At 42.9% G+C, this 12,477-nt stretch overlaps 1 protein-coding gene across 12 annotated transcripts in view; it reads right to left on the bottom strand.

The window, feature by feature from the left end:
• Positions 1-12,477, bottom strand: part of ATF7IP (activating transcription factor 7 interacting protein) — a 137,249-nt gene that overhangs the window by 10,490 nt on the left and 114,282 nt on the right. For 11 of the 12 annotated variants that reach the window (NR_170893.1, NM_018179.5, NM_001286514.2 and 8 more), the window contains one exon: positions 11,256-11,438. Coding sequence is in view for 11 of the 12 variants with exons in the window: in NM_018179.5 (NP_060649.3) it covers positions 11,256-11,438 (183 nt within the window). In the remaining variant the exon portion in view is untranslated. Of the gene's footprint in view, positions 1-9,786; positions 11,439-12,477 lie in introns of those variants that run through there. The other variant, NM_001286515.2, reaches the window with a different exon arrangement.

The raw sequence follows: 12,477 nt of genomic DNA, 5'->3' as shown, positions 1-12,477 counted from the left end.
CCCCACTACATTCCTGACAATTTATGCAGTGAATCTTTCTCCCATCCTTCCCCAAGGAGATCTCTGGCCTTTTACCAGGGTAACTGTGCATTGCGGAAAAGGAAACGATCAGACATTTCAGGGACTACTGGACACTGGTTCTGAGCTTACACTGATCCCAGGAGACCCAAAGCATCATTGTGGTCCTCCAGTTAAAGTACAGGCTTATGGAGGTCAGATAATTAATGGAATTTTGTCTCAGGTCTGACTTACAGTGGATCCAGTGGATTCCTGGATTCATCCTGTGGTCATTTCCCCAGTGCCAAAATGCATAATTGGCATCGACATACTTAGCAGCTGGCAGAACCACCACATTGGCTCCTTGACTGGTAAGGTGAGGGCTACTATGGTGGGAAAGGTCAAATGGAAGCCATTAGAGCTGCCTCTAAAAAGTAGTAAATCAAAAACTATATCCCATACCTGGAGGTACTGAGATTAGTGCCACCATCAAGGACGTGAAAGATGCAGGGGCGGTGCTTGCCACCACATCCCCATTCAATTCTCCCATGTGGCCTATGCAGAAGACAGATGGATCATGGAGAATGGCAGTGGATTACTGTAAGCTTAATCAAGTGGTGACTCTAACTGCAGCTGCTGTACCAGATGTGGTTTCACTCCTTGAGAAAATTAACACATCTCCTAGTACCTGGTGTGCAGCCATTGACTTGACAAATCCTTTTTCTCCATTTCTGTCCATAAGGCCCACCAGAAGCAATTTGCCTTCAGTGGGCAAAGACAGCAACATACCTTTACTGTCTTACCTCAGGGGTGTATCAACTCTCCAGCTTTGTGTCATAATCTTATTCAGAGAGACCTTGATCACTTTTTGCTCCTGCAAGATACCACACTGCTCCATTACGTTGATGACATTATTCTGATTGATCAAGTGAGCAAGAAGTAGCAAAAACACTGGACTTATTGGTGAGAGATTTGTGTGCCAGAGGATGGGAAATAAATCTGACCAAATTCAGGGATCTTCTACCTCAGTAAAATTTCTAGGGGTCCAGTGATGTGGGGCCTGTCAACACATTCCTGTTAAGGTGAAAGACTAGTTGCTGCCTTTGGCCCTTTCTATAACCAAGAAATAAGCACAACGTCTAGTGGACCTATTTGGATGTTGGAGGCAACACATTCCTCATGTGGGTGTGTTACTCCAGCCCATTTATCAAGTGACCTGAAAGGCTGCCAGTTTTGAGTGTGGTCCAGAACAGGAGAAGGCTCTGCAGCAGGTCCGTGCTACTGGGCAAGCTGTTCTGCCACTTGGACCATAGGACCCAGCAGATTCAATGGTGCTTGAGGTGTGAGGGGCAGAGAGGGATGCTGTCAGAGCCTTTGGCAGGACCCCATAGGTGAATCACGGTGGAGGCCTCCAGGACTTTGGAGCAAAGCCCTGTCATCTTTTGCAGGTAACTACTCTCCTTTTGAGAGACAGCTCTTGGCCTGTTAAAGGGGCTTTGGTGGAAACTGAACATTTGACTATGGGTCATCAAGTCACCTGAGATGACCATCATGAACTGGGTGCTTTCTGACCCACTTAGCCATAAAGTGGGTCATGCACAGCAGCATTCCATAATCAAATGGAAGTGGTATATATGTGATTGGGTTCGAGCAGGTGCGGACGGCAGAAGTAATTTACATGAGGAGTGGCTCAAATGCCCGTGTCTCCCCTCTGACACCCTGCCTTGTCTTCCCCAGCCTGCACCAATGGCCTCATGGGGAGTCCCTGTGATCACTTGACAGTGGAAGATTAAGACTAGGTCCTGGTTCACAGATGGTTCTGCACCATATGCAGGCACCACCGGCAAGTACACAGCTGCAGCACTACAGTCCCTTTCTAGGACATCCCTGAAGAACAGCAGTGAAGGAACATCTTCTCAGTGGGCAGAACTTGGAGCAGTGCATCAGGCTGTGTGCTTTGCTTAGAAAGAGAAATGGCTAGATGTGTGATTATATAGATTCATGAGCTGTAGCCAATGGTTTGGTTGGATGGTCAGGGACTTGGAAGAAGCATCATTACAAAATTGGTGACAAAGAAATTTGGGGAAGAGCTCTGGGCATGGACCTCTTTAAGTGGTCAAAAACTGTGAAGGCATTTGTATCCCCTGTGAATGCTCACCAATGGGTAACCTCAGCAGAGGAGGATATTAATAATCAAGTCCATAGGATGACCCGTTCTGTGGACACCATTCGGCCTCTATCCGCAGCCACCCGTGTCATCGCCCAATGGGCTCATGAACATAGTAGCCATGGTGGCAGTAATGGAGGTGATGCCTGGGCTCAGCAACATGGACTTCCACTTACCAAGGCTGACGTGACTATGGCTAATGCCGAGTACCCAATTTGCCAGCAGAAGAGACCAACACTGAGCCCTCGCTCGGGCATGCCATTCCTCGGGGTGATCAGCTAGCTACCTGGTGGCAGGTTAATTATATTGGACCTCTTCCATCATGGAAAGGGAAGAGGTTTCTCCTCCCTGGAATAGACATATACTCAAGATATGGGTTTGCCTATGCTGCACACAATGCTTCTGCCAAGACTACTATCCATGGACTCACAGAATGCCATGGTATTCCACACAACATTGACTCTAACCAAGGCACTCACTGTACGGCTGAGTAAGTGCAGCAGTGGGCTCATGCTCATGGAATTCACTGGTCTTACCATGTTCCCCATTGTCCTGAAGCAGCTGGATTTACAGAACGGTGGAATGGCCTTTTGAAGTCACAATTACAATGCCAACTAGGTGACAATACTTTGCAAGTCTGGGGCAAAATTCTCCAGAAGGCCATGTATGCTCTGAATCAGCGTCCAATATATGGTGCTGTTTCTCCCATAGCCAGGATTCATGGGTCCACGAATCAGAGGGTGGAAGTGGAAGTGGTACCACTCACCTTCACCCCTAGGGATCCACTTGCAAAATTTTTGCTTCCTGTTCCTGCGACATTACGTTCTGCTGGCCTAGAGGTCTTAGTTCCAGAGGGAGGAACGCTCACACCAGGAGACAAAATGATTCCATTAAACTGGAACTTAAGATTGCCACCTGGATACTTTGGGATCCTCCTACCTTTAAGTCAACAGGCTAACAAGGGAGTTAGTGTTGGCTGTGGTGACTGTCCCGGACTGCCAAGAAGAAATCAGTCTACTGTTCCACAATGGAGGTAAGGAAGAGTATACATGGAATACAGGAGATCCATTAAGGCGTCTGTTAGTATTACCATGCCCTGTGATTGAGGTCAACAGGAAACTATAACAGCCCAATCTAGGCAGCACTAAAAATGGCCCAGACCCCTCAGGAATGAAGGATGGGGTCACTCCACCAGGAGTAAAACCACTACCAGATGAGGTGCTTGCTGAAGGCAAAGAGAATACAGAATGGGTAGTAGAAAAAGGTAGTCATCAATACCAGCTACTACCATGTGACCAGTTGCAGAAATGGGGACTGTAATTGTCATGAGTATTTCCTCCTTCTTTTGCTAAAAACATGTTTGTGCATGTATGCACTTGTACAAACAAAATGTCTTTATTTCCTTTTCCTTCATCATGTGACATAAGATTTATTGACTTCCTATCAACATTTAAGTATTGTTAACTTTATGTAATAGTATTTGGCTTGGGGATTGGTGCGCTTCTGGTTGTACAAAGGATAATTGTATTATGTTAGGCATAAGTATGGCCTTATTACCCTCTTTATTTGAAGGCTGCGTATGATATTAGGAGATGTATATGGGTTCAGGTTGACAAGCGGTAGACTTGTGATGGTTAATACTAAATGTCACTTGATTGGATTGAAGGACACAAAGTATTAATCCTGCGTGTGTCTGTGAGGGTGTTGCCAAAAGAGATTAACATTTGAGTCAGTGGGCTGGGGAAGGCAGATCCACCCTTCATCTGCTGGGCACAATCTAATCAGCTGCCAACAAATATAAAGCAGGCAGAAAAACGTGAAAAGGAGAGACAGGCTTAGCCTTAGCCTCCCAGCCTACATCTTTTTCCTGTGCTGGATGCTTCCTACCCTGAAACATCGGCCTCCAAGTTCCTCTGTTTTTGGGTGTCAGACTAGCTTTCCTTGCTCCTAAGCTTGCAGATAGACTATTGTGGGATCTTGTGATCGTGTTAATATTTCATAAACTACTCTTTATACTATAGATATATATAAAAATATACTATATCTACAAATTTATAGGATACGTGTGTGTGTGCATGTGTGTGTGTCCATCTTATTAGTTCTGTCCCTTTAGAGAACCCTAATTCAGATTTTGGTACCAGGATTGGGGGTCTAGAAGAACCGAATATTAAGGATGGAGTTCTTTCATTGATTTTGGGGTTTCTGGAGTTGGCTGCTTAATATGATTAGACCCACAAATGCTAAGGACTCTACTTCTAGTAGTATAAAGAACACTGATAGTACCTGGCATGAACTGTTTAGAGAGTTATGCAAAATAAATGCATTTGACACTCCTGAATCACCACTTGTGAGAAGCAAGGAGTTTAGGGACTCTATACACGATACCTTGGACCATATGTGGAGAACCAAGGAACATAATGAAACTGGTCGGTTCCTCCTAAGTTCAGTGGACAAAGTGATAAAAGAAAATGATGAACTCAGGGATTCTGTCTCCTGGCTTCTGAAGCAAATACTGAGCCTGAAATCTGCTAAGACTGCCTTGAGTGAGAGACAGTTATCTCCTATAGAGAAAGAGCTGAAATTGTAGAAAAACAGACACAAGCTCTTATCATACAATTGGCTAACCTACAACAAAAGAGGCATGTACCAGACTCACCAGGTGTCTACAGTTAAAGTGAGGGTATTGATTGGAACAGCTTCCCTACACCCAGTGAGGGCAACGTACCCTCCCTGATCCATGCTGCCATCAGTCTTTCCAACTTTGTCTGAGGAAATAAAGCCTGTGATATGTGAGGCAACAGTGATGGCCTCCTCTGAGGCAGTTGCCAGGTAAGACAATGTTGACTCTTCTCAGGAGCCCCTCCAAACACCTCTCTTTGCTTCTAGATGTATAACTACACTAAAGTACTGGTGGGCCCCTAGAGGTGAGGTTGAAGGTGTGACCTATAAGGAGGTATGCTACACTCAGAGAACTGTTTTGAGTTCTCTAATTTACATAAACAGAAACCTAGAGAACAGGCATGGGGATGGATATTAAGGGTATAAGATTATGATGGAAGGAACAAAGTTGGATCAGGCTGAATTTCTTGATTTGGGCCCACTAAGTAGGGACTCTGCATTTAATGTTGCAGCTCAGGGAGTTAAAAAAAAAGGTTCTAATAGATTATTTGCTTGGTTAGTTGAAATAAGGATTAAAAGATGGCACACTGTGAGTGAGCTGGAAATGATTTATCTCCCTTGGTTAATGTAGAGGAAGGGATCCAAAGACTAAGGAGATTGGGATGGTAGAGTGAATCAGTCACTTTAGAGCTAGTCATCCCAGCTGGGAGGGTCCAGAAGATATACCCTTGACCAATGCCTTGCGAAACAGATTTGTGAGGGCAGCACTTGTATCTTTGAAGAGCCCTCTAATTGCTCGTCTCTGTATGTCAGATCTAACGGTGGGAACCTTAGTCACTGAACTACAAAATTTAAATACAATGGAAATAACTGGATCCTAAGTTGGCAGGGGCCAAGTGGTGGCACTCAACTGTCAAAGGCAAGGTGGGCGTAGCTACCGTAATGGACAGCAGAGGCAAAGTGGCAGTTAGAAGAGTCCGACTTGTATAGAGCTCTAGCATTGGATAATTAATCACAGTGTTCCTAGAGATGAAACTGATAGGAAGCCTACTGCATTCCTACTTAATTTATATAACCAAAAAACTTCTAGGTCAATGGAACAAAAGACTAAATTGAATAATAAAAAGAGAATTATAACCCCTCAATCAATCTCTAGACTTGAGCCAGTTTACAGACCAAGAACCCCTTGAATGAAGGGGAGGCCTCGTCCCCTTGAGGAAAGACCCCACTACATTCCTGACAATTTACGCAGTGAATCTTTCTCCCATCCTTCCCCAAGGAGATCTCTGGCCTTTTACCAGGGTAACTGTGCACTGGGGAAAGGGAAATGACCAGACATTTCAGGGACTACTGGACACTGGTTCTGAGCTTACATTGATCCCAGGAGACCCAAAGCATCATTGTGGTCCTCCAGTTAAAGCAGGGGCTTATGGAGGTCAGATAATTAATGGAATTTTATCTCAGGTCTGACTTACAGTGGGTCCAGTGGATTACTGGATTCATCCTGTGGTCATTTCCCCAGTGCCAAAATGCATAATTGGCACTGACATACTTAGCAGCTGGCAGAACCACCACATTGGCTCCTTGACTGGTAGGGTGAGGGCTACTATGGTGGGAAAGGTCAAATGGAAGCCATTAGAGCTGCCTCTAAAAAATAGTAAATCAAAAACTATATCCCATACCTGGAGGTACTGAGGAGATTAGTGCCACCATCAAGGACGTGAAAGATGCAGGGGCGGTGCTTGCCACCACATCCCCATTCAATTCTCCCATGTGGCCTATGCAGAAGACAGATGGATCATGGAGAATGGCAGTGGATTACTGTAAGCTTAATCAAGTGGTGACTCTAATTGCAGCTGCTGTACCAGATGTGGTTTCATTCCTTGAGAAAATTAACACATCTCCTAGTACCTGGTGTGCAGCCATTGACTTGGCAAATCCTTTTTCTCCATTTCTGTCCATAAGGCCCACCAGAAGCAATTTGCCTTCAGTGGGCAAAGACAGCAATATACCTTTACTGTCTTACCTCAGGGGTGTATCAACTCTCCAGCTTTGTGTCATAATCTTATTCAGAGAGACCTTGATCGGTTTTTGCTCCTGGAAGATATCACACTGGTCCATTACACTGATGACACTATTCTGATTGGATCAAGTGAGCAAGAAGTAGCAAAAACACTGAACTTACTGATGAGACATTTGTGTGCCATAGGATGGGAAATAAATCCTACTAAATGCAGGGACCTTCTACCTCAGTAAAATTTCTAGGGTCCAGTGGTGTGGGGCCTTCTAAGGTGAAAGACTAGTTGCTGCATCTGGCCCTTCCTACAACCAAGAAAGAGGCACAACATCTAGTGGGCCGATTTAGATTTTGGAGACAACACATTCCTCATGTGGGTGTGTTACTCCAGCCCATTTATCGAGTGACCTGAAAGGCTGCCAGTTTTGAGTGCGGTCCAGAACAGGAGAAGGCTCTGCAACAGGTCCATGCTACTGAGCAAGCTGTTCTGCCACTTGGACCATAGGACCCAGCAGATTCAATGGTGCTTGAGGTGTGAGGGGCAGAGAGGGATGCTGTGAGAGCCTTTGGCAGGACCCCACAGATGAATCACAGTGGAGGCCTCCAGGATTTTGGAGCAAGGCCCTGCCATCTTTTGCAGGTAACTACTCTCCTTTTGAGAGACAGCTCTTGGCCTGTTAACTGGGCTTTGGTGGAAACTGAACATTTGACTATGGGTCATCAAGTCACCATGTGACCTGAGATGACTATCATGAACTGGGTGCTTTCTGACCCATTTAGCCATAAAGCGGGTCATGCACAGCAGCATTCCATCATCAAATGGAAGCAGTATATACGTGATTGGGCTCAAGCAGGTTCCGAAGGCACAAGTAATTTACATGAGGAAGTGGCTCAAATGCCCATATCTCCACTCCTGTCACGCTGCGTTCTCTTCCCCAGCCTGTACTGATGGCCTCACAGGGGTCCCTATGATCACTTGACAGCGGAACAGATGACTAGGGCCTGGTTCACAGATGGTTCTGCACCATATGCAGGCACCACTGTAAAGTGCACAGCTGCAGCACTACAGCCCCTTTCTAGGACATCCCTGAAGGACATCGGTGAAGGGAAATATTCCCAGTTGGCAGAACTTCAAGCAGCACACCTAGTTGTGCACTTTGCTTGGAAGGGTAGATGGCCAGATGCATGATTATATATATTTATGGGTTGTAACAAAAACTATGAAGATATTTGTATCCCTTGTGAGTGCTCACCAACGGGTGACCTCAGCAGAGGAGGATATTAATAATCCAGTGGATAGGATGACCTGTTCTGTGGACACCACTCAGCCTCTTTCCCCAGCCACCCCTGTCATCACCCAAAGGGCCCATGAACAAGGTAGCCATGGTGGCAGTGATGGAGGTGATGCCTGGGCTCAGCAACATGGACTTCCACTTACCAAGGCTGACCTGACTATGGCCATTGCTGAGTGCCCAATTTGCCAGCAGCAGAGACCAACACTGAGCCCTCGATACAGCACGCCATTCCTCGGGGTGATCAGCTAGCTACCGGGTGGCAGGTTGATTATACTGGACCTCTTCCATCATGGAAAGGGAAGAGGTTTGTCCTCCCTGGAATAGACACTTACTCCAGATATGGGTTTGCCTATGCTGCACACAATGCTTCTGCCAAGACTATTATCCATGGACTCACAGAATGCCTTATCCACCGTCATGGCATTCCACACAGCACTGCCTCTGACCAAAGCACTCATTTTATGGCTAAAGGAGTGCAGCAGTGGGCTCGTTCTCATGGAATCCACTGGTCTTACCATGTTCCCCTTTGTCCTGAAGCATTCAAAAGGAATGGCCTTTTGAAGTCACAATTACAACCCCAACCAGGTGACAGTATTTTGCAGGGCTGGGGCAAAGTTCTCCAGAAGGCCGTGTATGCTCTGAATCAGCATCCATTATATATGGTGCTGTTTCTCCCATAGCCAGGATTCATGGGTCCAGGAATCAGGGGGTGGAAGTGGAAGTAGCACCACTCACCTTCACCCCTAGGGATCCACTAGCAAAATTTTTGCTTCCTGTTCCTGCGACATTACTTTCTGCTGGCCTAGAGGTCTTAGTTCCAGAGGGAGGAACGCTCCCACCAGGAGACAAAATGATTCCATTAAACTGGAACTTAAGATTGCCACCTGGACACTTTGGGCTCCTCTTACCTTTAAGTCAACAGGCTAGCGAAGGAGTTAGTGTTGGTTGTGGTGACTGTCCCGGACTACCAAGAAGAAGTTAGTCTACTGCTCCACAACGGAGGTAAGGAAGAGTATGCATGGAATACAGGAGATCCATTAGGGTGTCTCTTAGTATTACCATGCCCTGTGATTAAGGCCAATAGGAAACTATAATAGCTCAATTTAGGCAGCAATAAAAATACTCAAGAATGAAGGTTTGGGTCATTCCACCAGGAATAAACCACGACCAGCTGAGGTGCTTGCTGAAGGCAAAGAGAACACAGAATGGGTAGTAGAAGAAGGTAGTCATCAATACCAGCCAGGACCATGTGACCAGTTGCCAACTCAGAGACTGTAATTGTCATGAGTATTTCCTCCTTCTTTTGCTAAAAACATGTTTGTGCATGTATACACTTGTACAAGAAAATATCTTTATTTCCTTTTCCTTCATCACGTAACATAAGATTTATTGACTTCCTACCAACATTTAAGTATTGTTAACTTTATGTAATAGTATTTGGCTTGGGGATTGGTGTGTTTCCGGTTGTACAAAGGATAGTTGTATTATGTTAGGTTTAATTATGGCCTTATTACTCTCTTTATTTGAAGAATATGTATGATCTGAGGAGATGTGTATGGATTCAAGTTGACAAGGGGTGGACTTGTGATGGTTAACACTGAATGTCAACTTGATTGAAGGATACAAAATAGTGATCCTGGGTGTGTCTGTTAGGGTGTTGCCAAAAGAGATTAACATTTGAGTCAGTGGGCTGGGGAAGGCAGATCCACCTTTAATCTGGTGTGCACAATCTAATCAGCTATCAATGAATACAAAGCAGGCAGAAAATGGGCTGGAGAAGGCAGATCCACCTTTAATCTGGTGGGCACAATCTAATCAGCTGTCAATGAATACAAAGCAGGCAGAAAAACATGAAATGGAGAGACTGGCTAGCCTTCCAGCCTACATCTTTCTCCTGTGCTGGATGCTTCCTGCCCTTCGACACTGGACTCCAAATTCTTCAGTTTGGGGATTCAGTCTGGCTTTCCTTGCTCAGCTTGCAGACAGCCTATTGAGGGACCTTGTGATCATGTAAGTTAATACTTAGTAAACTCCCCTTTATATATCTATTTATCCTGTTAGTTCTGTCCTCTAGAGAACCCTAGTATGTTTAAATGATATCAATTTTGGTGGCAAAATCATAAAGAAAAGCAGAATGACTAATAGAAAAGTAGGAACAGTGGTTACCTTTGATGGAAAGGAAAAGGGATGTAGTCAAGACAGGAATACAAGACCACTTACAGGATACTGAAAAATTTCTACTTCTTAACCTGATGAAGAGTTCATACGTAGTTCATTTTATTATTTTTCTTTACTTTAAAGTTTAAATATACCTTTTATATAAGCTTGTGTTTATGTGATATATTCTACTACTGCTTATATACATGTGGTTAATATATAATTTTAAAATGTCATCTACATATGTAACATGCATGTAACATATGTATGTAACTAATATATGATATATACAAGAAACTACAAGCTTTCTTTAACATTTTCCCTTCTTTTCTCAGCCACTTTCCATATCTTTAAGACTCTCATTGAAGGCTATCCTTTACCATGATTTCCATCATCTGGGGTAAATCACAATTGACCATTCCCACTCTAACTAGGTAAGGTGTTTCTTAATAGAGTAGAGAATATACCAATATCAAATTGTGTACTATACTAATACAGGCCATAAATAAAGTTAAATTAAAGACAACACTCAGAGCACAAATCAACTAGTATACATCAACAATTTTCTCTGTTTAACTCTCCTAAGGGAAGAAAAATAATAATAGATTAGTTTTGGTTATACTGCCATTTCTTTTTTGAAAACTATTTTTTAATTGACAAAAATTATATATATTTATGGTATACAACATGTTTGAAATATGCATACACTGCAGAATGGCTAAATCTAGCTGACATATGCATGATCTCACATACTTACCTTTTTTGTGTGTGGTGACAATACTTAAAATCTGCTCTATCAGCTATTTTCAAGAATATACTACATTGATTTTAACTATACTATAGTTTCTATGTTGTAGTACAGATCTCTTGAACTTATAACAATACTTTTAATATGACATTATAAGAAATTTTTGCAAAATTTAACATTATTATATGCCATTCCAACTAAATGCTGAAGAGAACTACATGTATCTTGGGGCCATATACAAGAAAAATCTCTTACTATTTTGGGGATTGACCTGCCGAACAGCAGGAGCCTGCATAACAGTTCCTCGCAAGGGAGCCTGAGCTGGTGGTGCAGGAAGAGTTGTATAAACCACCTGGTGGTTTGCAGGAGCTCTTGGTACAGGGAGTCTTGTGGTCACCTGAGTTACTGGACGATGTGTTACATTCACGGTAGTTGGAGCTAATGCAAGGCAGAAAAAGATATTAAGAATACAGTAAATTCTACGTTAAGCAAACAGTATTAAATGGCAGTTATCTTTGCATAAAATCTAATTAACTAATAAAGACAGAAACAGAAATAACAGTCTCCTTTTATGATCTTCTAAGATAAAAATGATAGGGCCAATAAACATTAATAATATTAAAATCCAAGCTTCAGAGGAAAAGAACATCTCCACCACATCCAATTCCCTTCCCACTCTGGTTTGACCAGATAATAAGCAATGTGAAGATTTTTTAAAAAGGTGCAGAATTAAGAGTATGATGCCACAGGAGTGACTTAAAAGAGAAAAACCTCCTAATTTTAATTGTTCTTAGCAAAGTAGAATCATAAGCCCTCTCGGCCTTCTACCAAGGGGGTGTAAATCCAAAAGAGTATTTTTGTATTCCCAAAGATCAAGAAACTGACCAGCTATTGTTAATTCACATTTATTTTTCAAGTGAGCCAACCTATCTCTTTGACCATTATAATTCACATTTTGTTTAGCTGAACCAATCTATCTTTTTTTAAAACAGTAAATAAAATCCATTAAACAACAGACTTCTCCCTTCTCTACTCTGGTATTCCTCCTATTGTATGTTCCAGAAAGCATTAATACTTTGAGTAATGTTAATAAATATTTATCAAAAAATGAGTCATAAACATTCACTGACAGCATGTATCTATAATAATGATTTTTAGTGACACTTTCTTGTTAACAACTCTCTGAATTAGAATCATATCTTACAAATGACCACATAGTAACTATATAATAAAAAGTAACAAATCAATCTACTTTCTTATGGAAAAAATGGGTCCTATAAAAAAATAAAGTTGGAGGAAAATACTGGCTATAACAAAGATAAAACGGTTTCTTTACTAAAGACTCTTCAGTCTTTACAGATACTAACTTTCGATGTGAGTCTTCAGAAACGGGAAGAAAGAAGAAAGTATTAACAAGAAAGAACATTTATTTTTTCATCTCTTTACTCCCCATTCCATAATCTACACTGCCCATGGG

The sequence above is a fragment of the Homo sapiens genome, chromosome 12 (assembly GCF_000001405.40).
Source record: "Homo sapiens chromosome 12, GRCh38.p14 Primary Assembly".
Lineage (NCBI taxonomy): Eukaryota > Metazoa > Chordata > Mammalia > Primates > Hominidae > Homo > Homo sapiens.
Note: the sequence above shows the minus strand (reverse complement) of the source record. Positions and strands in the feature narration are given on the sequence as shown.